At 48.4% G+C, this 27,533-nt stretch overlaps 1 protein-coding gene across 12 annotated transcripts in view; it reads left to right on the top strand.

The window, feature by feature from the left end:
- KCND3 (potassium voltage-gated channel subfamily D member 3) overlaps positions 1–27,533 on the top strand; it is a 219,007-nt gene that overhangs the window by 11,588 nt on the left and 179,886 nt on the right. For 2 of the 12 annotated variants that reach the window (XM_011541425.4, XM_017001245.3), the window contains exon 3: positions 1,073–5,450. The exons of 9 other annotated variants lie outside the window; for them this stretch is intronic. In XM_011541425.4, the coding sequence (XP_011539727.1) occupies positions 1,073–1,190 (118 nt within the window). In that variant the 3' untranslated portion in view covers positions 1,191–5,450. Of the gene's footprint in view, positions 1–1,072; positions 5,451–15,644; positions 17,946–27,533 lie in introns of those variants that run through there. One more of the 12 variants, XM_011541426.3, reaches the window with a different exon arrangement.

The raw sequence follows: 27,533 nt of genomic DNA, 5'->3' as shown, positions 1-27,533 counted from the left end.
CTGCTGTCAGGGCTTGAGGATGGCTTTTCTATGCAGCCTCCTGCACTACTGGGGAAGACCCTTTATGCTTTGCCCAGGTTTCCCTTGAGCCCCCTGACAGCTGAGTTCCCAAATGCTCCATTTGAGGTTTAATTTCCATCCTCATAATTGATGCTATAAATAAAATAAATCCTCAATTATCTCAGTTAACAGAGGGAAGGGATAACATAGAACTCCCAATATTAAATAAGACCAACCTAACTACTTTGAGAATGTATTATATGATGTAAACTCTCTCAAAGCAGATTTCCCTTCTTAACTTCATTTGACTTTGTTTGGCATCATGATTGTCCCGGACAGTCCATGGGGGAAGCTCAGGAGGGACTGGGAAAGAGGAGAGCATGTGAGAGTAAAGCCTTGCAAGCGAGCATCCGCAAGGACCATGGGAGGCCAGTCCCAGGCCTGGTTTTGATGAGGCTGCTCTTGGGTATCCTAGGGAAGGGTTCAGAGCAGTGTCCGATCCCGATGAGATGGCTCACTGCTACTGGTTGTCTCAGTTATGTAATTGAGACCGGCAGCCTATCTGTCACCCCATGCTCTGAGATGAGAGAGCGTTTGACAGTGTCCAAAAATCACTTTAATGAAAACGGAATTGATTTTTACTTCTTCCAAGCAGGAAGCCGCCTCCAGGTGATTTGCATTTCACTTTAAAACATAATCCTGGAAGGGGCCTGCCTGAGGTTCGAAGAGGCGAGGAGACTAAGCCTGGGAGATCAATACAGGCACACCACAGAATGGGGTACTTGATAAGCCTCCCCACAGTGCCAGAAGTGGAGCCAGTCTGAGATCTGCTTTTGTTAACCCTTAAATACCTGAAATTTTATCTGCACCTTTATCTACTGCCTCCGGAGCCCATCAGTGCTCCTCTCAATGCCCAAGCACCTTGGCCCCAGGACACTGGCTAATAGTGTCCACCTACTTGGGGGTGGGCCCCTGCCTAGGGGACTTGGATCTTAGGACACCTATTGGGAACAAACGACCTCAAAGCCTTTTCTTTGTTGACATTTCTCTGTTGACATTTCTTTGTTGACAGTTCTCTGGTGCTGAAATTCTTAAGAGAGGGTGCAGAACTGCATCTCAACAAGGAATCTTTCATTCGTTCAACACTTATTGAGTGCTTCCTACACTCCAGGCAGCATGGCAGCCTCTGAGAATACACAGGCACTATGATTGCACATCAGCCAATGTAAGGAACAGGCAACATGAATTGAATGAGACCCAGTTGTCTTCCTTTGAACTTGAGCACTCTTTCTGGTGCTCCAGAGACTACCCTTCACTCTGCTTCTGTGTCTGGCTGATACACATCATCCTTCAAACTCAGCCCCACGTCACCTCCAGGAGCTGGGTACACTTCTCTTGCCTCCTCTTGTAGCCCTTTCATTACTCTGTTTTGTCATTGACACATTTTGTTAACTTCAGCTGTTTATGTGTCTTTCCGCCAGGATGTGAGCTCTCTGTTCCAGAGATCATGCATGATTCATGCCTTACACAGAGCTTGATATATAGTGTGTCTCAATAAGTATTTGTTCACTCAAACAGGTTCGTTTGTTTACACAGCTTTAGTTTTCTCATTTGATAACCATCTTCTGGCGATATGAGAACCGATGAATGTGCTATCAAAATGTTAGCTATATAGTCATGGCAGACATGATATTTGTGGACAGAGTGGAGATAGGGAGGCCAGGCAGGGCATTCTGTGGTTCTGATTTTAGGCTTAGGAGGGTTGGGGCTTTCTTGCAAGGGAAGTTTGCCTCCAACTCTTGGCTACTTGGCTACGCTTTTTCCTGCAGACTCTGGAGCCAGGGAGGAGGAGAAGGGGAGCCATAGGTAAGCCCCTCTACCCATGATGTTTTTCTCCATTCAGTTATTTACTCAACAAATGTTTATTGAGTACCTACTAGACACTGGGAATACAGCAGAGAAGAAAATAGTCTCTGATCTTGTGGAGGTTACATTCTAGTGGACAGCACCCAACAGCAAATAAATAAATACATTTTATCAGGTTGCAGAGAAAATTAAAGCCGGATATGACAAGTATGGAGTGCTGAGTGTGGGGGCCTGGGCAGAGCAAGGGATAGTTTCTATTTCATGTTAGGATGTCAAGAAGGGCCTCTCAGATATTCGAGCAGAGACCTGAAGGAATGAGGATAGCCTGGGGAGCAGCATTCCAGGCAGAGGGAATAGCAGATGCAAAGTCCAACAGGCAAAGTCCAACAGGCAGGAGGGACCTTGGTGTGCTGTTCTTGAAAAAGTAAGAAGGTCCAAATGGTCAAGCTGCAAGAGCAGGAGACAGGAGAGTACCAGGAGATGAGGCCAGAGAGGTAACAGGGGAAGCAGCTCATGTAGGGTCCTCATGACCACCACAAGGACTTTTTCTTTGCTCTGCTTGGCATGGGAAGTCACTGGAGGGTTTTGAGCCACTGACTTGCATTTTTAAAGGATTGCTCTGGCTGCCAGATAGTAAATACCTTGTAAGAGAGAAGCTAACACAATAATCCAGGCAAGAAATCAAGGTGGCTGGGACTGAGGGTGGTGGCAGTGGAGATGGGAGAAGTAAGCAATTCTGCGTGTATTTGAATGTAGAGGCACCAGGAAGCTTTCTCAGGAAGTGCTTGTTGGTCCTGCTCCCACCAAGCTTCACCAGCTCCCACAACAGGGGACTGGCTCAGAAGACACAGTCCTGAAGATCTTCTCTACCCCTGGGAGAAGCATTTCACAAGAAGAAACCTCAAGGCCTCGCAGGATGGCTTCAAGGCCAGGGGCAGCCGAGACCTCAGAATGTAACAAACCAGCCAGAGCACCTGAGTTGTAGCATCAGCATCTCAGAGTAGGCCTGATGCTGACAGTAAGCAGGCAGCATCTGTATCTGGGTGGAACTTTCCTTTCAACCCGGGCAACATTTACTGAGCACCTGGCAAGTGGCTGGGCACAGTTATCCCTGCCATGAGGAGGACAGTGTTGACACAGACACGAAAACAGAGAGGCCACTCTAAAACTCAGCAGCTATGATAGCTGCAGCAGAGGAAGCCAGAGGGCTTCAGGCTGCAGAGAAGGGAAAGATTAATTCACACCATAGGATTTGAGCCTTTTGGGTGCTTCACACCGGGAGCATCACTTTGAATTTGTCTTCTGATTCAGCAATTCAAATTGCTGCAATTTTTGGAAAGGGATTTCTAGGCTGGTGCCCATTTCACAGATCTTTTCTGGAATCCCTCAAAATCAATCCCAATCTCTCTCTGTATCTCTCTGTTTGGTTTTGTTTGGGTTTCCCTCTTTAAACACACCCATTAAACACAACCGGGATTCCTCCTGAGGAGCAGCAATTATTCTGCCTCAAGATAGTATAAATAAAAGGCAGCATTTCCATCTTCAGGAGGAGGGAAATGCCCCTCAGTAATTACTTGAGTATTTTTGTTTCTCCCACCCAGGAGGGAGCTCCTGTCCCAGGCCATTGCAGGGCTCTTGTCCATGCTCCATTGTAGCTGGGAGCTCTTTCCCATCAGGGAGAGGAGCAGAGACTTTTAGCTCTGAGTCTCCTCACCTCCCACCCGCTATCCTCAGGCAGGTGGCTCTGCACACAACCAACCACTTCCAGGAAGCTGATACTCTACCAAATACTCATACCTTAAGTGTTCATCCTCTAGTGATGTCCAAGTTTTTTTTTTTTTTAATCTGGGAAACAGGGACCAGACCCCCAGAAATTTATTTGGAAGAAGTGCACAGTATTGACCTCAAACCAACTTCTAGTGACAAGCAGGAAGGAGTTCCCACAATGCTTTTGGGTATCCAAAGTTTTTTGCCAGAAGGCTCAGCTGCCACAACCTCCAGAACAAGTTCAGACTCCAGCCTCTGTCCAGCCTGCTTTTCTCCGGCCAGAACACAGGCATCTTTTCCCCACTCTTACCTCCCTCCAACTAGCTCAATGCAAATGATGGGTGTATGGGAAGATGGGGACTGGAGAGGGAAGATAGCTGAGCCTTTGCTGACCATGACTGGATGGAGGAAGATTGCATTTAGCTCATGTAATCTTATTCTGGGTGTCAGGACTCGAATGAGTGTCATTAAACTGAATCAGAAAAATCATTTTAATATAAGTGCCACCTCATACACAAGCTAGTTGATGGAGAGATGGATGAGGCTGGGGACGCCTCCTTTGTAATGTGATGCTGTAAGATCCTATCACCCTCATTATTTCCCACTGAGCCAACGCATCATAATACCCATGAGTGGCAGAACAGCTTGAATTTAATATACAGAAAGTCCAATCAAACAATAAATGGATGAAACTATATAAAGAAACCATTTTCTGGGAGGCTGGCTCCATTCTTTGGGATTCAGCTCCCTGACACAAGAAATGTGCATCAATTTTCTCCAACTAATGCAGCTGCCGAATCTACCACATGTGATATTTGTTTGCTTCAGAAGTGGAAAAGGGGAACTTCCCCCCTACATTATCTAGCTATCACTGCAAAATTGCAAACCACATTTTCTTTGATTTGCACCCAGTGGTTTCCAGTGGCACAGCCAGCAACTTCCGATCCCAACAGGACTGGAAACATAGCCCTCCCTCCATCCCAGAACCTTATCAGTCCCAGTAGAACTTTGTTATCTTCTTTATATGAAAACAAATTCTGGACACCAGAGTGGGCTGTTTAGGAGACTGGGAAATCTCTACCCTTTGCAGTCATCCAAAAGAAATGGCCAAACCATGGGGCCTTGCTGACACACTCCAAGTGCCTATGATGTTCCAGCTGTCCAGAGCCTTGCCTTCGAGGTTGTACAAAGTAAATGTTTCACTCTGAACTGGATTTCTCCCAGTGGCATAGTCCTCCATCTTTCCTTCCATCTCTATTTCCCAGCCAGTTATTGAAAGACTGTAAATGCAAATATTAACTGATCAGCCAAACAATTAAAAAGGCAAATCAGCTGCTTAAAAACTAAACAATGCATGTCAAAGACTGATGGAAATAATGTTTTTATGATTCTTGATGTGGGAATTTTTCCAGTGCTATTTTCCCAGTGGCATGGATAACCAAGAGTTAACCATAATTACAGGCTTATAGCTGCTGAGGAGTATCATTAGTTTATTTTTACTTCTTCCTGGACACGCATACTTAAGCAGAAAAGAAAACTAAGAGAATTAAACTAAATGATATCAAAACCATGGACAGCACAAATCTTGATTCAATTCAACAAACATTATTCAACATCCAGTTGAATTTGCAAGGCATATTAGTAGGCATTTTGGGGGATAGAGAAATAAAGAAAACATGAGGCTTGTCCCTAAGAAGTTGTCAATATAGTGGGGAATTGGAGTATGTCCATGAGAGTGTACAAGAGAGAATGGGGCATGTGCTGAAAAGATCAGGAGTACAGAATAAATGCTTAATAAACATTTGTTGATGAATGAACGATTGGCTTCATGGTAAAGAGATTTTAGCTAGACCAACAATGGTGAATAGGATTTTGATATGTGGAAATGGGAAATCCTAATAAATTGCAAAAGGGCTTGATGTTTGGGAAGCTTAACTAATATGCTGGTTTGCTAGTGTTTAAGATATACAAATAGGGGCCGGGCGCGGGGGCTCACGCCTGTAATCCCAGCACTTTGGGAGGCCGAGGCGGGCGGATCACGAGGTCAGGAGATCGAGACCATCCCGGCTAAAACGGTGAAACCCCGTCTCTACTAAAAATACAAAAAATTAGCCGGGCGTAGTGGCGGGCGCCTGTAGTCCCAGCTACTTGGGAGGCTGAGGCAGGAGAATGGCGTGAACCCGGGAGGCGGAGCTTGCAGTGAGCCGAGATCCCGCCACTGCACTCCAGCCTGGGCAACAGAGCGAGACTCCGTCTCAAAAAAAAAAAAAAAAAAAAAAGATATACAAATAGGAAAATAGCTAGAGATAAGCAGTAACAAAATATTTGACAGAGATGCAGAGAGCCTAAAATATTAGGCTAAGGAATTCATTTGATAGGCATTAGGGAACCACTAAAGGTAGTCCAGTGTGTATTGATCAGGAAGATTTATTTGGCAGCTGTCTTCTGGATGAATGTGGAAGGGAACCCTTGGACACAGGAAAGTCAGCCAGAAGATTAAGCCAGGTAAGAGATAAAGAAGGCTTGACTAAGACAGTTGCAATGAAACAGAAGAGAAAGGACTGGAATGGAATGACACCCCGGAAGAGAAGTCAAAAGAACTCTGGAATTATAAGACTGGATGAGTAGAGGTGTGGAGTTGGCATGAGTAGAGGTATGGAGGTTGGAGTTCCTTAGAGAAGGAACAGGTTGTCAGGAGGTCAAGAGGGAAGACAGAGCCAGTGAGCTTAGCTTTGGACCTGTAGTGTTTGCAGTTAACCCTGGGTGTCCTTGAGGTGTTTGGCAGACAGGTGGAAAGATGGGTCTGGAGCTTAGCAGGGAGAAAGGATAAACAGGCCGTTTCCAAAATCATCAGCTGAAGCAGAAAAAATAGATGAGATTGGCCAGGGAAAGATGAAGGGAGGGAAGAGAAGAGGGCATGGGGAGCATTTCCTGCCTTGTGCCCTACTTCTCTGGCACCTGCCCCCAGTAGGAACTTTGGTGCTGTCTATGAACAGCTTTGCTGAAGCTTGGATTCAGTCTCTCATCTTCACCTGTGGAAATTCCCTTTTATACTGTGTTTCTGCTGAAGCCAAAAGGTCACACTGGGTTTCTGAGTAAAACAAGGGTTTTTGTTTGTTTGTTTGTTTTGTGGTGTTTTTTTTTTTTTTTTTGCCTCCTGCAATGATTATTAAACAAACAGTACCCACCCAAGAAAGCAGAATTTATGAGCTTTGCTAAAATAATAATAATAATAAAGGGACCCTTACATTGGCATGTGGATGGCACATGGGGTCTAAATGGCCACAGACCAAGGACCATTTCTCCTTGTCCAAGGGTGATGCTACTTCAGAGTGGTACTACCTTCGTGGGTGACACTGTCCTGGTTCTTGCAGTGCCAAGCTCTTGGCAGAACTTCCAGACACTTAAGACACCACTTCTCTCATTTACTCCTTCCTTTCCCTTGGAGAAAAATGTCAGATGCACCCGCTGGTATCACTGGGAGCATCCTGTGACCTGCCCCCTCTAGGAGACATCTGTCTTGGGCCCTTGGTAAGAAACTAGGGGAAGTGATGGTTCACTAATTCAGCAAACATGCATGGAGCTGACACTATGAAGATGACCCAGTCCTAGTTGATATGAGGGGCTGCAAAGAGAGAAAGAGGTGGGGACTAAATCCCTCGAGGTGGATGTTAGGTTCCCATTCTACATATGAGAAGATTATGAGAAGATTAAAACATTGTGCCCAAGCTCCCACATGGTAGTAGCATTACTGGGTTTAGACTGAGGTCCTTTGACTTCATTAGAGTCCACTGGCTTCATTAGGAGCTTTAGTCCAGTAAGAGAAATGCCTGTGTTCACAGGGCTATACATTTCTGGGCTCAACAATGTCAGAGGCGTGAGTCAAGGACAGGAAAGTGTGAGGAGAAGATGGAGGAGGCAAGGATCAGGGAAGGCTTCTTGGAGGAGGTGGCATTTCAGCTGGCCCTTAAAAGATCATTTTGGTGGAAAAATTAAATACATTAATTCATTTGATTGTTTATTCAACAAATGTTGTGGGTCTGCCATGCAACAGGCATCATGCTGGAGGCCAAAGACGTATCTGTGAACAGAACAGGCAAATTATCTGAAGTAGACCTTTTAGTAAGAGCAACACATGATCAACAAATGAATGTTTAAAATGAGAAGGATTGGGAGGCTGAGGTGAGTGGATCAACTGAGGTCAGAAATTCGAGACCATCCTGGCTGACATGGTAAAACCCTGTCTCTACTAAAAATACAAAAATTAGCTTGGAGTGGTGACAGGCGCCTGTAATCCCAGCTACTCAGCAGGCTGAGGCAGGAGAATCTCTTGAACCTGGGAGGCAGAGGTTGCAGAGAGCTGAGATCGCGCCATTGCATTCCAGCCTGGGCGACAAGAGTGAAACTCCATCTCCAAAAAAAAAAAGAGAGAGAGAGAAGGAAAGATTGGAATAAAAGCTATGAAAAAAAGAGAGAAAGCTGGTAAGAGGAGAGACAGTGAAGGCCATTAGCTTGCATGTGGAGTGAGCCAAGGGGTCACAGCAGGAGAGTGCACAGGGGCAGCCATCCAGCATCCCCCCAGGAAAGTGTCATCCGCAGTTGGTTTTGAGATGGAGAGAGGCTGCCCCACAACAGAGATGACGATTTAATAGCTGTGTTTGAGTCTCTTTAGGGTTGTTAGCCAGAAGGTGGAGAAACAGCTGTTTGCCACTCCACTGAAGATTGAATGAGTAGAAATAGGTTCACCCTGACATGTGAGATGACTGTCATTATCCCTAACAACAACAATGACAGCAATAATAACAGCTAATACTATTGAGTCTTTATAATGTTATTAATTATTTTTACGTATTTTGCTCTCCCAATAACCATATGAGAGCAGTATTACTATTATCTGTGTTTTGTAGCTGAGGAAGCCTGCTCAGAGCTTACCACTGATCAGTGGAGAATTTGGGATTCAGACTGGCAGTGAGCTGACCAGTGTCTGCTCTTGCCTATCATTTTCCACTGGGATTGCCACTGGAGGCATTTGGGAGCCTGAAATGCCTTCCCTGGAAGGTGGAGAAATCTCCTTCCACAACCTCTGACTTGAGCATAGGAGAGGAAAATACATGTGCCCCCAATGTCCTACCACACCAGGACCAAAGACTCTTGGGCTCTGTTGGCACAGGTTCTGAGGGTGAAGGGTGGACACAGAATGGACGAAGAATGGACAAAGGGAAGGTCAGAGTCAAGGGAGACAAGGTCAGTAGGCACACGAGGGTGGGCATGGAGGCTCGTGTGGCCAACAGGGATATGGACACCCGTGGCAGGCAGGCAGTGGTTCACCAGCAGGGGAAGCACATACTGGCGAAAGGGAAGGAAAACAAAAAAGAAGGAAATGGGAAACTTTCATGTATTATAAACTTCGTGTTTTTGCCCCTCCAAAGAAAAAAAAAAGCCTGAGAGGGTAAATATGCATACTATGTAAATATCTTTTATAATAACTTTTAAAATCTCATGCCGTCTCCTGCTCTTGAGAGATTCTGGTTCCAGGGAGCCTTGTTGCTAGTGTCCTGGACTGGGAGTTGGTGACGTCCCTACCCACTCCACAGTGGCTTTGGGTATCACTCAGCCTTTCAGCCGATCCCCTCCTAGTCCACTAGAGAGATCACAGCCCAGCCAGCAGAGAGCTGGAAGCCAGTTCCCACATTTCTGGGGACCAGGTGGGGGAGCCTGTCAGAAGCCCATGACAGAGCACAGGTTCCCCCGTCTGCCATATGCCCCTCTGCAGTAGGTCCTGGCATTGACCTGCAGACACTTCTGGTTCCAGGAGATAACAGAGATGGGGCCGGGGGTAGGGGAGGAAGATCCTCCTGGAGATGTCACCCCTGGGTGTAACAGGACAGGCATTGCCTCACAGCCTTCCTGAGGAACCCCCAGTCACCAGGTATGGATCTTTCTTCATAAGTTGTGATCCTCACTTTCTCCTCTGCTGGCTCTTCTGACGTTGTAGCTGTTGGCCTCATTCTTTTTCATGCCATTTTTGCACAAGATAGATGAAGATCAATACAGCTTATGTGACCCTAGATTTTTTTTTCTTTTTTCCCTTCTTCTGTGGCCCATTTCTCTTCTGCCTGCAAAAATTGCTTTGAGTTCCTGAGATTTTTGTACCTGAGGACTCGTGCCCCTGCCTTCTGAGCCAAATCCCCCTTCTCTCCTTTCTTTCCTCACTGCAGCAGAAGCTTGTCTCAAGCAAGCAAAAGTGTGTTGTGTGGATTAATAAAAAAATTCTGCAGCCCAGCTGGCATGCTCAGAGTTTGGGCAGGGCTTACAGAGAGATTATGAAGCATTATGCCCACCTCCCTCCTTCTCACCCCCACGCATTGTGTGTGTCTTTCTGAATATTTCCATGTAAGGTCAGCTTCTCATCCGAGGAGCAGAGGCTGCTGTGTCCCTGCTCTGAGTTAAGTGCTTTATGCCTGAGCTGGCCCACATAGGTTGCCTGAATCCTTTGGCTAGAGTGGGGCTCTGTAGGACCCTGGCAAGACCACTGGATTGGGAGTCAGGAGATGTGGGTGTGGGGCCAGCTTTGGCAAGCTGTGTGACCTAGGGCAGGTCACTTCCTCTCTCTAGTCCTCAGTATCCTCTTCTGAATGGTGAGGGGGTTGGATTGAATGAATTCTCATCTACTAGCCAGCTGCACAAGGCTTAAATCTCTCACTTTTCCAAAGTAAACTGGTCATTAGCCCAGTAGCCTGGATAATCCTTACCCTGGAGAACCAGCCCCTAAGAAGGTAGCGCACTGGGGTCCTTCTATTCCCATTTCTTCTCCTCCAAAGAAGCAGAAGTTAAAGAGTCCTTGACTAAAGCAGCCATCAGAAATGCAAGTCTGCAGAGAGGCCTGGGAGGCCCTGCCTGCAGACTCCTCCAGGGTGCGTGAACAGGGTACTTGACGGTGAGCTGGCAGGACGCAGATCAAGGTCAACAGCCTCGCCCACACAGGGCTGAGGTGCCGTGCTTGGAGAGAGCAGGGAACTGTGAATTCAGCTCCCTGGATGCCTCTCGTTGGGCCAGGAGAGGGAAAAGCATAAGACATTAACCCTGGGACCAAGAGGCTTTTTAAAGGATGAGCTCAGACGGACACTTAAGCCCCACACATCCTAGATTTAGGGTCTAGTTTGCTATTCCCTTTGGAGCTGGGCTGTCTTCAGCACCCTCCCCAGCAGAGGGCAACAGGTCTGCCTGAGTATTTCCAGGGATGGGGAGTTTACCCCCCGACCCCGTTTTTGTTTTGTTTTTTTTTTTGTTTTTGTTTTTTTTTTTTTGAGACGGAATCTCACTCTTGTCTCCCAAGCTGAAGTGCAATGGCGTGATCTCGGCTCACTGCAATCTCTGCCTCCTGGGCTCAAGCGATTCTCCTGCCTCAGCCTCCCAAGTAGCTGGGATTACAGGCATGCGCTACCATGGCTAAATTTTTTTGTATTTTTAGTAGTGATGGGGTTTCTCCATGTTGGCCAGGCTGGTCTCAAACTCCTGATCTCAGGTGTTCCGCCCACCTTGGCCTCCCAAAGTGCTGGGATTACAGGCATGAGCAACCATGCCCCATGAGTTTACCCTTTTTGATGCAGTTCATTCCACTGGTAGAGAGATTCAGTGATCACCAACCTCCTCTTTGTGTTGAACTCAAATCTACTTTCTCTATACCTCAGAAAGACAAGAGCTTTGAGAACCTGGAAGGTTCTGTTATGAAACAGTTCTGGAAGGCAGGTATAACTCAGATCAGGGAAGTCATTAGGGGACTCTGTGTCAAGAGGACCTGTGATACATCTGTCCTGGCACAGACTTAGGGTGACCCAGGCCCAGCCCTGGAAGAGTGAAGTCCGTCGGTGGGTGGAGGCTTCCCCAGTGAGCCACCACTCAGGGACCTCACCAGGCCCTCTAGGATAAACAGCCAAGGACGTTTGCAGCATGAATGGGTGGGTTATGGGGGTAAGCAGAGCTCTCACCCCTTCTTCTGTCTCCTACCACCCCAGCCCTACTGATACCTCCACTAGTGGCTGGTTTCCTCCATTCCCACTCCCATCACCAACTTGTTTTTCTTCCCCTATTATCCTGTTGGTCTGTAAATGGCCCTTTCCTTCTCCACCCCCAGTATTTTATTACATGAGTTCCCTGCAAAATGCAAGGGAATCTATATATTGCTGTTAGCATCCGTGTGGGCAGCATGGCTTATATTACCTTGAGTTATTTGAATGAAACCAACCATTAAATGATCACAGAGGGCTGGAGAGAGGGTAAGCGTGTGGGCTGTCTCCAGGATGTGAGCATCTTCTTGACTTTCCTTCCAGTGTGCAGAGGGGATAAGGACTGGGGAGCCAGCAGCAGGGTGGTGCCAAGGAAGGCCAGCTTGGTGGGGTGAGCCAGGTGAGTGAGTCTTGTAGGGAGGTCCCAGTCACCACCATCTGAAAGCCTCCTAAACAAGCCCTGCTTGCATTGGCAGCTCTTGCTCCCCAAAGCCGGGGCAATTGTCCTGGAACCCAGCTCCCAGCAGAGTGCCTGGCACACAGAGGGGCTCAGTGGACATATACCGGTCCATTGCTGCCTTGTCATGGTCATGCTGGCTCACTTCAGACAGGGAGAGGCGCCTGCACATGTGTGGATCAAACATACTGAAGGATAAAACTTCAAAACAAGCAGGAGTCAAGTGCAAGGTTTGTATATTTCATGAAATGATATGAGGGAGGGTGTGCCCAAATTTGGAATGGCATATGTAATTTGGGGACATTTCCTATCCAGATAGGGGCTGCAAGGGGATCATCAATCTGTTCCACTTAGAGAAATCACAGAAGAGCTAGAACTTATAGGAGGGTGTAAATCACATGAGAAAGCTGGTTTGGAGAGCTGGAAAGGGCAAGTACTCTGGGCAAAAAGTGGAAGTTGGAGGAGAGACTCAGAACCTGACACCATGCTCCTGGCGTGTGTGTGTGTGTGTGTGTGTGTGTGTGTGTGTGTGTGTGTGTGTGTGTGGTTTTGCTGGCCATAAGGGGTCGGGGAGGGAGGAGGGAGTTCTCAGGGTAACCTGGGCCATTGTTGACTTAGGGAACTTTAGGATCCTGCCCTCTTCCTGCCATCTAGAGTCCCTCCATTCTTGGAAGATTACCTCTTCAGAGGTGACCCTTCTCTCACACCAGAGGCAGCATTCTGATCCAGAGCTGGATCTTCTGGTCCTTAGATGAGCCTCTGACCCAACCTCCACACCCCTTTTACTCAGAAAGCAACTCTGTGCCTGGAGAATCCAGAGAGAATTGCTGGGGGATCTTTCCTGAGCCAGAGAGATTCAACAGTCCTTGGACTTGCAGTCCTGTTTACAAAAAAAATGAGTGTTTGGGGGCAGTTTGGGGGGGTGCAGCAAAGCTTTTGACTGCAGATGCTGTTTCGAATCTGCTGTTGCCCATTTCCTTTATCCGCTCAACAAACATTCCTGGCCTGCTGACCATGTGTTCAGGCCCTTTAGGGTGATGAAGAGCTTGCCAGGTGTGGTCACTATGCACAGAAAATGAACCAGATGAACTGGATGACAGGCTCATTGGCAGAGTTAAAGATTGCACACATCGGGAAATGGGGAGAAAGGTGAGGGAAGCAGCCCTCAGTGCCCCAGCTCACAGGATCCCTCTCTCGTCATTGCTTAGTCCCTCCCTGGTGGGTAGGACAATACCCCCTCCTTTTCCCAACTTTGCAAAGGAAATAGTTCTGTTCTCCATTCTATTCTTGTGTCTACCTCCTAGTAACACCTAGAATTTCAAAAATATAAACTTTGATTCTGCTGCAAGAGGAGCCCCTCTGAGTTAGTGCTGCCTTTCCTGCTCCAAGTGTGCTGGTGTTTTCCCTTAGAGCTGTGCTTCCCATTGTGGTCACCTGGCTGTGCTTTTGACCTTGTTCCTCTGGGGCTGGCTAGGCTGCTTGAGGCAGGAGGTTACTGACCAGGGCTCTGCTGCCCCCACCCCACCCCACCAGCTGCCTCAGGAGCTGTGGGGGCCGGGGGAGGGAGGGAATCTCTATCAGTCTGCATGCCTGTAACTCCTTCTCACCCACCTGTGTACTGCAGCCCGCAGGTTGGGAGGCTGTACTTTAGCATCCCGGGCTTCAGCCTGCCCAGGAGTCACCCCTCCCCACCTACTGCTCTCAGCGTCCCAGCTGGGCCATCCTCAGTGAAAAATCTGCTTTGACCAGAGCAGTGTGTCAAGCCAGGGCAGACAGTCAAGTCCCAGAGCCCAGTATTGTGGCCCAGGAAGACTGTTGGCCCCTTTCCCCTCCCTGCCTGGCCCTGGCTGGGAGCCTGGGCAGCCATAATGGCATGTAAGTGCCTGTTTCCCTCCTTCTGCCGAATCACAATAGAGTTACAATCAGAAAGCAATTCAGAGACCCTGACTAGTAGGTAGGATTAAGGATTGGGATAAAGGATGACTTCTCTTCTTCTTTCTTGGGGAGGACTAATTCCCTCTGAATCCTGAGATGGTGCCTCAAGGAAGGCCGTAAGATGATTCTGAGAGAAGCTGAGGTTTTGCTTAGGCAGGAAGCCCTTCAAAAAAGAAGTCCTTGTGTGCATGCTGGTGTGGTGATGGAGAGGCAGTGCAGCCTGCCTAGGCGTTTCTGTCCCCAGAAGGCCATGTAGCCATAAGGTCCACTATTACCTTCTTTGTGTCTAGCAATGCTTGCTGTCAGGAAGTCTCTCCTGAGGTCTGACTTTGTCCCTCATGACGGTAGGCTCAGTTCACTTCCTCACATCAGCCCTCACTGGAACTAGAGATCTGCTAGTCAGCCCCCTTCCTCCATGTAAAAACTCTTTGACAATTGGGACCTTGGCAGGACTGTCTGTTAGGGTAATAATGACAGGAAAATCCTCATACGGTGGACCAGGTCATGTTCTCAGTGCTCTGTGTTTAATTCCATTTCACAGCAACCCTTATCAAGTAGGCATTACTATCATCCCCACTTTACAGGTGAGAAAACTGAGGAACAGAGAGATTAAGTAACTTGTCAAGGGTCACGTAAGTACTGAATGACAGAGAAGGGTTTCACCCTGAGGCATTCTGGCTCTAGGATCCCCTTAACCACTGCCTTCAGCTGACTCTCTCAGGTTCACAATATTCTCCTTAGGACCTATTTTCTAGCTCCTTCTTCAATTCCTTTGTGGGGCTCTGAATCAGTTAGCTTTTACTGTATAACAATCTACCCCTGAAAATCTAGTGGCTTAAATCATAAACATTTATTACATCTCATGATTCTGTATGGTGGGGGGTTGAGTTGTCTCGGCAGTTCTCTTGGTCTGGTCTGGCTTAGCTGATATCCCTGGTCATTGGAGACCCAGCTGGGGATGGGTGGTCTAGGATGGCCTCAATCACATATCTGGTGGCCTGCTCAAGATCTCCTGGGGCAACAAAGAGAGGTGACATGGCTGTTGTCTCACATCATCCAGTGGGCTATCCCAGATCCTTCAAATGGTGGTGGTCACAGGGTTCCCAAGAGCTGCACGACAGGCCAAGCCCTCATACACAAGCTCTGTTGAAGCCTCTGCTTGTGTCACAGTTGTTAATGTCCCAATGGCCAAAGGAAGTTGCATGGCCAAACCCAGATTAAAAGAGTAGATAAACAGATTCTACCTTTCAATAAGAGGAGAAGCAGCAACATCACATTGCGCAGTGGTATAAATACAAAGGGATGAAAAGAGTTGGTGGCCATTTTCACAACCAGCCTCAGGGTCCTAACCATGAACCATGTGGACTGAATTTCATAGTGGGAAATACAAAGAAGGTCTGGACAGGCAGGGCATCCACATAGGCTTTCGCCTGATCAAAAGTCCAAGTTGTTTCTACGGAGGTAGTGAAGCCCATGCAAAGGCAGGGGCTCTAAGTCCCTAAGAGTGGGATGTAATGGCATGATGTCACTGTTTTGGTTGGGGTTGGGGAAGGTAGTGAATGGACAGAGAATGGATTTTCTTCTCTGGTGCACTAACTTCCTCCTATCCCTAGGCCTTCTGCAGCTCCCCCGGGCCAAAGGGGAAGAAGCCACAGACGTGTTCATTCCTAAGATCATGATTGCAGTCTCAGCAGCGCCCTGTGCTGCCCGGGCAGGTCAGACCCTCTCAAAGAAGACCCCTCCTGGAGAGTGTGGGTTAATAAGAGCATGTGTTCCAAAGGCAGGCAGACCTGGGTTCCATCTGCAGCTCTGCCACTTTCTTACAATGTGATCAAACAGAAACCCACCTGTGAACCTCACTTTCTTTTTCTGGCAAATGAGGATTGCTGTGATGATTAAAAATAATGACGTTTATAATGTGCCTAGACCAGGGCCTGGCACATGTGCGTGCCCAGTCTTAGCCATCACTGGGGCTTGGATGAGCTCTCCTGCCCTCATGCTTGGGTGGCAATGGCCAGATGAACAGAGCTGTTACTGGTAAATAACTCTTGGCTCACCCAGGAATACCAGATGGCGTGCCAGCAACTCGGGCCAGAGAAACTCAGGGCAGAAGCTGCAGGGAGAACAGAAGTGGGACTGTAGCCGCCTGAAGGCTTGGCTCTGTGGGCATCACTCACTTGGGGTCGAGGGATGTAGTTGAGCCCCCTTGTCTCAGACATGAGAAAGCTGAGGCGATAGCCCCAGTATTAGCCAGGCAGCAACTGTGGTCACATCACTGGAACCCAGATCACTCTATTTCCTGGTGGATGCTCTTCCCTTCATGCCATGAAACCTTCAAATGCCCCCCCTCTGGCCTCCCTTAAAATACCCAGTTCCCTAGGTCAGTGTCCTACTGGATCCCCATCCTGCTCCCATCCCACGATGCACACCTTCGGCACAGGGAAAGGGAAGAGGAGGTATTCAGACAGTAGATGGGAAGGGAGGCAAGGAGGGAAGGAGCTTGGCAAAAGCTGGCAGCTGCCAAGTAGGATATGGGGCTTGGCAGAGGAGCCTGTGCTCCCCTGCACTAAGCAGAGGTCAACCCTGGCTTTCAGATGCCAAAGAGACAAAAGAATGGACCGTCCCCATCACACCAGCCTCCACCCTTCCCTAGCTTGGAACTGCCTGGAGGGAACGAGGAAACAATTATTTATCAGGGATGAGTTGGTCAGGAAATTGGACATATTCAACAAAGACCAGGAAACATTGTGCCAGCCGGGTCTGATGGGGTGACAGAGCTGCTCAGAGCACAATGGCCTCGCTGGCGCCTATATTTGCTTTCTGAGGAACAGCTGAGGACACACACTGCATATGTGATGAGTGCAGGTGGACAGGCCCCTCTGTGGCCAGCCAGAATCCTGGCCGCCAGCCCCTGGCTGCTAAGCCAGGGAGGAGCAAACTAGGCTGGGCTGTAGCCCGGGTCCCTGGACAGAGAGAGCTTCACCCCTGTGCTGTACCTCTCTTCTCCGGGACAAGAGCACAGAGTCGAGGCTACCCCTATCTAGGCCCTCTCCTCATGGCTCTGGCAGGGACATGGCAAGGCACCACCAAGAGAGGTCTTCCCTAGAGTGGAAAGCTGGCATTTGGATGGGGTTCCCCAGTCACTCACTCACCTCCCCAACTGCCATGGCCCCAGGCCTCCCTCGGTCTCCTGATGAAGAATTAAAACCATGAGGGCTGGTGGGAAGCACTCTGGAAACAGCTTGTTCTGTTCTCTCCCCTCATCCCTGAGGACTTAAGCTCATTCCCATCCTAATAGAGAAGGGGTTGGAGAGAAAGTGTTCCCCCAACCCCAGCTGAGGGTTTACACTGTTTACACTTCAGTCAAGCCTCCCTCCCTGTCTCAGCCTGTATGGTTAACATGGGATTTCTCCCCCTACCCCACCTCTGGCCCAAGTTTTCCCCAGTATCTTCCAGTTTTTTTGTACCTGGCCACTTTCTGGGCTAGGGGAGGGAGCTGGAGAGGTCCTCTTGCACTCTTGGGAACTGTCCGTGCCTGACCACTGCTGTGGGGAAGGGAGGAAGGGGTACCAGCCCTGGCTGGTCTTTAGCTCATATAGTTCCCCACCCCTTGGTGTACCCTGTTTCTCTGTTTGGAGGAATGTGCTAAATACGGCTTTATCAAGCAGCTGAGGATCAGCATCCTTCAGAAGAAAGGATCTTTGGCTTTTTGATATTTACTGGGGGCCCAGATTCCAAGCCCTAGATAGCTGGTCAGGCCCTGAAGCATTTACATGGGGTCTGCTGTGAAGTCAGCTTGGGTAGAGGAGACAGATCCCAACATTGGGTATGGAGGGCTTTGGTCCAAGGTGGGAAAGGGCTGTGTATTAGTCCGTTCTCATGCTGCTAATAAAGACACACTCAAGACAAGAAAAGAGGTTTAATTGACTCACAGTTCTGAATGGCTGGGGAGGCCTCAGGAAACTTACAATCATGGTGGAAGGGGAAGCAAACGCTTTTTTTTTTTTCTTTTTTTCCACATGGCGGCAGGAGAGAGAAGAGTGAGTGCTGAGCAAAGGGGGAAGCCCCTTGTAAAACCATCATATCTAGTGAGAACTTACTCACTATCATGAGAATAGCATGGGGGAGACCACCCCCATGATTCAATTACCTTCCACCAGGTCGCTCTCACAACATATGGGGATTACGGGAACTACAATTCAAGATGAGATTTGGGTGGGGACACGGCCAAACCATATCAGGCTGTGAGACCATTTCACTGTGAACTATTTTTTGCACCTCCAGCCTCTGAGGAAGAGGCTCACTACTAGAGTTCTACCATGTACCTACAGTGTGTCACAGAGCACCTAGCAGGGACACAGAAGTTGCTTCTGGTCATTGCCCACAGCTACTGGTGTCTTGGGTTTACTGCCATCCCCAGCAGGGGGCAGGAAGAGAATATAGACCTTACTGCCCTCGCTGGCCCTAGGAAGACTCCAAGAGCCAAGTTAAAGCGTCTACAGTTTAGTTCACAGGAGCCCCTGGAAGCTTCCAACCCTGGTGACCTTTAGGAAGGAGAGAGACCCTCCCTGATGAGGGTAGGAAGTGGTGGATGGGGCGAGCTTCCTGGGGCAAGGGAAGTAACAGAAGACCCAGAGGGGTGGGAAGGGAGGACTGTTTGCCTCAGAGTGCTTGAGGTGGAATGTTTAAATACTGGGGAATAGCCTCTGTTTACTTCTGTGTTTATAGTTGTCTCTCCATCCTGAAAATAAACCATCCTTGAGTAACTATAGCAAAGAAAGCTGAGGGTTTATGGGGGGTTAGAGGGAGCGAGTGAACATGGGAAAGCACTTCTGGAAGCATGGGCCAGGCTGTCCACCACCGACCGAATCCCTTTGATACACAGAAGCAGTAACTGTGCATGCAACACATTCTCTATTTAAGCAAGTGGACACAGTCCAGCTCTTGGAATTTCAGAACAATTACTCTGCCTAACTGTTATGCAGTCTGGCTGACTCTGTGAGTGTGTGTGCGAGAGTGTGTTTCCCTTCTCCTATATGGATCTGTCATTGGGTGATAAAATAGAACATGATGAGTGTCATTCTAAAGCAATTACAAGCAAGATGCATAATGGCAGAGCTGGAGAACATGGCATATGGCCTCCGGCAGCCTCTGTGTAAAAACTAATCGAGAGATTTTGTTCCCCCACCACCACCCTCAGAACCCAGTTCAGGCTTCATGTTGAGGAAGAGAAGGCAATGAAAACCCTCCACAACCCTGCAGGTGGATGCTGGACACTGTGGGGTGGAGATCAAAGGGCTATAGTGCAGTGTTGTCTGCCAGGACAGATGCCAGACAGAGGGGGCCTGCCAGCTCCAGAGCGGTAGAATAAAGGGGAGCAACAAAAGCATCCCCAGAAATCCAAGGCCGAAGCAGCACAATCCTGGAGAAACTTGGGAAGCTATGGGGAGCACGAAGAGTGGAGGTTAAATGGCGATGTGTTTTATTTCACCAATTTCGATTCTACTTAATTTTCCTGTTTCTAGCCGCTTCCTGCTCCCTAGTTCCCTAGCAGCACCTCTGCTCTGGTCATACATCAGAGAACTAAGTGAAGCTCACAGGGCCTCCATTCTGCTTTGTTTGTCAGTGACCAACTTTTCCTACTCTTCCCAGGGAATGACTCTGCTTCTGAGCACTGCGAATGGACCTGAGGCTCTCTCCTACCTTGGCTGCAGCTCAGGGTCCTGCAGGGTTTGGGGGAGCTTTTCTGGAGCAGATTAGCCATGGAACCCCAGCGGGGACGAGAACAGCCTGGTCAGGTTGGATGCTCTTTACATGAGTTGGATTAGGATCCTTATTATCACACACTCAGGATGAAAAGAAAATACCTCTCTGTCCTACTCCACCCCATGGTGTGTATGTATGCCAGGTGGTTTGGGGACAGCCTGTCTCCAGGCTGCTAGGTCACTGGGCAGGGTCCCTAGGGCTCAGGGTCATTATCCATGTCTCCTGGAAAAGTACTAGTGATTCCTGCTACACCCTGAGTTGCAGGACAGTGGAGAATAGAAAGTCAGCTCTGCCCAGGATCTCCCCAAGTTTCACCTCAACTGGAGAGTGCTTTCCCCCCTCTTTTTACCCCACCAACATGCCCTGGCAGAGTTTAACAAACTTATTTTGTAAAGGGACAGAGAATCGATATTTTGGGTTTTGTGGGTCATATATTCTCAGCTATTCAACACTGCTGTTGTAGCACAAAAGCAGCCATAGACAATAGGTAAATGAGGGGGCATGGCTGTGTTCCAATTTTATTGATAAAAACAAGAGATGGGACAGATCTGGCCCACAGCCATGGTTTGCCATAAAGAGTAGAGGGCAGGAGCCTGACACCAGGTCCAGCCCTCTGCAGATGCCCTCCTTTTGGAGCCCAAGTGCTTTAAGATGAAAACAGAGCCTGGGCTCTTCCATGCTCTCTTCCTGGCATATGTGAACACATATCTCTCTTTTTTTTTTTAAACTTATATCATTGTGGAACTTGGAACAGAAAAGAACCTTAAAGGTCATTTTGTTTCACCTACTCATTTGACAGATGAGGAAAACTAAGGCATAGAGGTTAAGCTGCATTCCCAGAAGCATCCCTTGTTGGTAGCAGAAGCGGGATCATATGAAGCCTGGCAACTTAAGGGAAGACCCTTCCTCTCTGCCACACCGCTTTGTTCCCGGCCCATCACGTTCCTCGGGTGGGGCCGGATGAAACAGAACCAGTTACCAAGAAATCACAGACTGGACTGAGTAGCAGCACTGTGTGTGTGCTTAGTGGCTGTTGGGGCCTCCTTAGTGGGAGTTGGGAAGCACTCCTGGAGAAAGAATCTTGTGGCTTTCTGGGAAGTGACTCTGAAAGGCATCTAGAGGGGAGACAGAGTGTTCTACCTGGTGCTTTTCCACCAGTATAAAAATGTGTTGGTCAGAGGGATCATAATTAATGTGTTTTGTTTGAGATGTTTTCCTCCCCTTATTGTGACCCTGGGTCTTGCAGGCCCCAGGCCCTTCTTCTCGTTCTGTCTTAAACATAGCGCTGAGTACAGCAAAACAAGATTGGTTCCACTTTTGTTAAGGAAGAGAAAGAGGCACGGACAACCCTAGTTGTGAGTTAGTTTCTTCTCCAGAGACCTTTAAACAAGATCTTCACTTGTCTGGGCCTCAGTTTCCCTACTGGTATAATAAGGAGGTGTCCAGGTGCTGTAGGGAGGGATAGGGCTACTGTCCTCATTTGCAGAGAGAGGGAAAGACTCAGGTCCTGAAGCAACCCAGGAGAGACGGTGTTCCAGCTTCTTGAGGTCTGCGCCTGCTTTTCTCTGGGGAAGCCAAGTACTTCTTGAGCCAACCCTGGAAGGAGCTGTGGAAGTGGGGGAGGGCTGGGAAAATGAGCTGAACTCAAGCCTGGTGTTCAGCTGCACCTGCCCTTGAAATTAGGAATGCCGCACATCAGAAAAAGAAAAGTGGGACTCGAGAGCCCAGGCCCGGCTTGGAGAGGCTCCCGGAGGGTGCTGAGCTCACAGCCCAGACCCTCCAATCAATAGGGCATGGCTATTTATAGCATCAGCCTGAGAGAAACTTAATTATGATCAAAAGGAGCTATTTAATACCATGCTTGCCGAAGATGCAACCTCTTGTCAGTGGAAATTAATCAGCTGCTGCCATGGGCTCTTGCCCCCTCGGGCTCCGGAACTGGGGAGGCGACTGGCGGGAGCACTGATGACGTTGATGCCCTCACAAAGTCATCCAACATGCAGTGGTCTCCCCAGGGCTCCAGATGCACAGGGGTCAGGGAGGCAAAGTGAGAGTGAGGGGGATTCACAGTTCAGCTCAAGTGCAGCCTCCCCTCAAAGCGGTCTCCAAGGACTCCAGCTCACAATCAACTCCCTCCTCTCCTAACTCCTCTAGTATCTGCAATCTGTCCTATGCTTGTTAGGACTGGGCATGCCCCTTCCTCACTTTAAGCTTCAGTTTCCTCATCTGTAAATTAAAGGTAATAAAAACACATTCCTCATAGGGTGATTACAAGGATTAAAATGAGTCGGTTATCACATGGTAACCACTTGGAACTGTGCCTGGCATGTGGCAAGCACTCCATAAGTGCTAGTTGCTGTTACTGCCGCTACAACTACTACTTATTAGTTCCCTCTGCCTCCTCAGCCAGATTGTTTGTTTCTCGAAGGCAGAAATGGCGTCCTCATGCTTAAGGTGACCCCACTTCGTGCCTAGCACAGTGCTGGTCATGTAGGGTGTTGAACGCAATGTTGGCTGTTTCATCCATATGATTCAAAAACTAAAAGAATTCATTCTTTCATTGAGTCATTCATAATTTATTCTAAAAAACCTTTATTGGACCCTCATGTGTCAGGCCTTATACCAGACATTGAAGATATGAAAATCATTAAGCACTAATGAACCTTGTGTCAAGCTGTTCACTGCCTAGTGAGGGCCCAGCGAGGGAGACGCACATGTAAACAGATCATTACAATGCAGCGTGACACAAAAACAGAAATGTGGCCCCCCATCCAGCAGAAGCACAGAGGAGGGGATGATTTACCCTCCCAGGGACACCATGAGAGGCTTCTTGAAGCAGATGGTTTTTGTTGTTGCTGTTGTTGTTGTTTGAGACAGGGTCTTGCTCCGTTGCCCAGGCTGGAGTGCAATGATGCAGTCATGGCTCACTGCAGCCCCAACCTCCTGGGCTCTAGCAGTCCTCTCGCCCCAGCCTCCTAAGTAGCAGGGAATACAGGCATGTGCCACCACACCTGGCTAATTTTTTAATTTTTTATTTTCTGGAGACAGGGTCTTGCTATGTTGCCCAGGCTGCTCTTCAACTCCTAGGCTTAAGCGATTCTCGTGCCTTGGCCTCCCAAAGTGGTGAGATTACAGGCCACTGTTCCGGGCAGGGATATAGGGTTGGACTTGAAAGATAACTACAGGAGATGAAGGAAGTAGAGAAATAGAGGCAGAGGAAAGAGTATGTGCAAAGAAAGGCCTGGAGTTGGGAAACTCAAAGGTATTCAAATCATTTGTGAAAATCTTGGCCGGATCCTAAGGACAACAATAAGACAGACAGCTCCATCTAGGTTGACATAAAAGGCAAAACTGAGGGCATTAGCAGTGAGTGAGGAGGAGGACCTATGTCACAAATCATATTGTATATAAGTGCATTGGTTCAAAAACATAGACCAGTTTCCTCCCTAGAGAAACCAAAGGAAATGCCCCGAATCATGGATTTAGGTTAGAGTCCCAGAGGAGAAAGACGGAATTCTGAATGAAGGCTGCTGGAGGAGAAGTCTAGGTCTCCATTTGCAATGGACATTGGAGGTTAAAGAGGTTTTCACTCCTACGTTGACTAGTCCTGATAAGAAATTGTACAGCAGAGTGATGACACCATGGGCCCTAGAGGCAGATGCCAGCCAGAATCCCACTCTGGCAGTTGGGAGAATGGAACAAGCACAACTCTTTGGTATAATCAGAAAGCAACTTCACTTTCAGCTCCCACTGTTGCTGCAAGTTTATTGGGTTGAGGCAATTCTGCACCCCAGATGAAATCTGGGTCAAGTCCCATGACTTTTCAGGTCACTTTTAGATGACACAAATGGTCTCAGTTCTGTATGTTCAGTTTAATAATCATAACTTTAAACTTCACTTAAGAGTTGGGTGTCTCCTATCCCCTGGCTCTGCCTACCACAGATGGAAATGGGGTGGGGTAGCGGGCACAGTTAGCTCCTCGTCCCTTTCCTCTATGTCATTAAGGGTCCCAACAGGAAGCAGATGGCTCACAAAAACTGGACAGTTGAGGGGAGGTTCATAAAAGGACTATTTACAAAGGTGTTGGCATGGTTTGGGAGAGCAGAAAATTCCACAGTCTGCAGGTGCAAGGGGAAGGAGAAGTTACTAGAACTAAGAGAAGGGAGCTCTATGGGCCATCTGAGGGGCCTTCCATCTTTGGGAGCGGGACACAGCAACCCACAGTGACCTGGCAGGGAAGGGCGGAGAGTACACTTCCCCCCACCCCCCATCCTGGCTTGTTAGCCCATGGTGCCTCCCTGTGGAGGGCAGGGAGCCTGCTGATGATGTCCATAGAGGTCGGCTTCCCAGGGTTTGGGGCTAGGAAAGGGTAGAGAGTGATCTGGAGCAGGAGGGAAAACGCCCTCAATGAGCCTCCTCCTTCTCCTAGATTGCTAACCAAAGCGTCCCTGGGTTGGAACTGAGGCAGGCAGGGAGAGGAGAGCAGGGCATGGAAGTTATCACTTGAGTGACAGTGTCATGACCTGCTCCCAAGCTCTCTGGGCCTGGAATATATGTAAAGCTGGCTCCTTCTCCCTTGAGGGACACTTTCAGAGTTCTTTGGAGAACTTTGCCCCACATAATCATGAGGAAGCCTACACAGCTCCTTGGATGCATGTGACGCCCTCTCCCTGAGTGAGCACTCAACTCCCTTCTCAGTTGGGCAGGTTCTCCGCTTGTCTTCTAGGCAGGCCGTTTCCCAGGCGTAGTCCAAACCAGGTTCACAAGAAACACTTTGCCTGGAAATGTGCAAGTAACCTGTGAAGCCATCCAAGCTGCCTGTGACACATCGCCTTCCCTTTAGATCATGCGAGCATGAATCAACACTGGTTTTCTGTGTCTCCCAAATGCAGAGAGCCCATATAAAACTCTCTGAGAGGTTTTCTTAACGCCCCTCACTCTTGGCTTGACCTGAAAGGAGAAGCACTCACAGCACACCAGTAACTCTCTTCAGAGGTCCTCTTCCAATCTCCAACAAGCTTTTTATTTTTCTCTCCAACCTCATTGATGGACCGGGTGGGTGGACAGCTGGGATCCTGTGTGGTGGCCTTGCACCTCACTGGAGAATGTGGTAGCTATTCATGTACAGCCTCATCTGAAACTGAGATTAATGAAGTCCAGCATCTAGTTATGCCAGCTTTGTGACATTTAGTAGGTCGGTTCTCCTCTCTCTGCTCTGGTTCCCTCACTTGTACACTGGGGATAATGGTACCTCATCTGATTTTGTGAGGATTTAGTGAAATTGTTCATATAAAGCATTTAGAATAATGCCCAGAATATAGTAAGTGCTCAATAAAATGTTGTTTATATTATTTTCCTTTTTATCTGATTGAGAATTGGCTTGGGGGAAGGTCTTCTGCAAGAGGAAGAGCTGAGAAGAGGGAACCAGAGACACCCTCCTCCATCCCCTTGTCTCTTTCCCTCCCCTTGCTGGCTTTTCAAGCCTAATGGGAGTGGTTGGGAAGCACTGGGCCTGTGTATGTCAAGAAGGAGGCAAGCATGGGAGTTTTGGGTTCTCTCATATTTAGCAGTAAGCATGACCTGGGGAAGTCCATCCTTCGGCATCTCCCTCTGGGAAGGAGTGAGCTTCCTCCTTGCTCTAGATGTGTGAATGGGAGAAGCCAAGAGGGATGTTCCCTCTTTTTCCAGCTACCTCGGTTGTGAGGGGAGAAGGAAGGCAGGGAAATGGCAGCCAAGCCCCAGAAACTTCTTACCCGTATTGAGCTGCCAGAAGCTGCAAGTGCTGTTGCAAGATGGTGACACATGAGCTGGGACAAAATGAATCACTCTGTCAAAGTTGCCCCAGGCCCCAAAATTCCCCTGCACCAGCTTCAGGGTTTCCTTTTCATTTTCCTAGACCCTACATGGGAGAGTGTGAGGCAGAAGGAGGGTGTGCCTGTGTGGAAGAGGCTTCCAGGTCAGCCCTGCCCTGCAAGGGTTGGGTAGGGAGTGGGGCGAAGACTCTTTTGAAAGCAAGAACTCCCAGACATGCAGCAAGCAGCCACCTCCTAAGAGGCTGCAGGAGTGGCTTTCCCTAGTCCAGGCTGAAAGCAGCTCTTGCCTAATGTGACTCCCGACCCCCTAAGGCTGACTCCCAGAGACTTTTGACAGTAACTGTGTCCTGTTAATGGACCAAACCACATTCCCAGAAGATTCCACCATCCCAGGCTTGGATGCAGATGTGCCCTGGCTGATTGCAGCCATAGCTTGGCAGCATTTTATCAATGACTTCAGTGGGGATGTTTATGCCTCCTGGCTTTCATGCTGTTCCTGGACCCTGAAACATTCTCTTCTCCTACCAAATCCCTGCTGTCTTTCTGTAGGGACTGCTCTTAAATGATTTTTCTTAGACCCTCTGCTGTTGCTTCTCCGTCTTCCCACACTATCACCTTGGATGTTCCTTTGGAACTTCTCCCTAGGTCTCAGTTCAAATTTCACCTCCTCAAATGATCTCTTCCCAGACTACTCTATCTAAAATAGCCAAACTCCAACCCAGCTTCTTCTTAGCGCTTATTCCTTCCTGGCATGATTTTGTATCTTTTTGGTTATTGTCTGTCCCTCCTTACTGTAGAATGTGAACTCCACAAGGGCAGGGAACTGTTTTATTCTCTATTGTATCTTAACATGTTGGCCAGTACTTGGCACATAGAAGGTGCTCAGTAAGTATTTGTTGAATGAATGAATGAGTGCCCTGCTCTTCATCCCTTAGTTGTTCCCATACTTAAGGTGGTCAACGCAGATGCCATCTTTACTCCACCCATCCAACCCCTCTCATACATATATCTACTCTCCTGATTATAAGCAGTTCCCAATTCTAAAGAAATTGGGAACTTTTAGACTGTGTCATCCATAAAAACTGATGAACAGGAGGGGGCAGCCAGAACTGAGGTATGGGCAAGGTGGTGCAGGAGAAAGTGTATGGACCATGGACTCACACTGATCTGATTTGAATCCTGTCTGGGCCACTTACCAGCAGTGATTAGATGTATGCAAATGTTCTGGCATAGTACCTGTACATAGTAGGTGCTCAATAAATGCAGGCTGTTGTTACTATAGGTCTTTTTTTTTTTTTTTTTTTTTTTTTTTTGCTCTTGTTTGCCAGGCTGGAGTGCAATGGCGTGATCTTGGCTCACCGCAACCTCCATCTCTCAGATTCAAGCGGTTCTCCTGCCTCGGCCTCCCAAGTAGCTGGGATTACAGGCATGCACCACCACGCCCAGCTAATTTTGTATTTTTAGTAGAGACAGGGTTTCACCATGTTAGCCAGGCTAGTCTCGAACTCCTGACCTCAGGTGATCCCACCAACTTGGCCTCCCAAAGTGCTGGGATTACAGGCATAAGCCACAATGTGCAGCCCACTATTTCTTTACTAAGCTGCAATGACTGGACAAAACATCTATCACAGGGCATCCTGCCTCCAGGCCAGAAACTTGGGGTCCTCTTTGTCGCTTACTCTCTGGCAAACCCACAGCTCTCTGCCATAAAACCTTGTCACCTCTCCCTTCAAAGGCCTTAAGGAAGGGCTCTTCCTTAGACGGTGCCCTGACCAGGCCCTCCTCCTTTCCTGCCTAGGATTTCTGCCCTCCTGCCCTCCCATTCTCTCTTAAGATTTCCTTCATCTGCCTGCCTTTCAAGGCCCTCTCCATTCAATCCCATTCTTATTTTGCATTCCTGTGCTCCAGCAGGACATGCCTCCA

This window comes from Homo sapiens, chromosome 1 (genome assembly GCF_000001405.40).
Source record: "Homo sapiens chromosome 1, GRCh38.p14 Primary Assembly".
NCBI classification, from domain to species: domain Eukaryota; kingdom Metazoa; phylum Chordata; class Mammalia; order Primates; family Hominidae; genus Homo; species Homo sapiens.
This window is presented reverse-complemented; position numbering and strand designations above follow the sequence as displayed.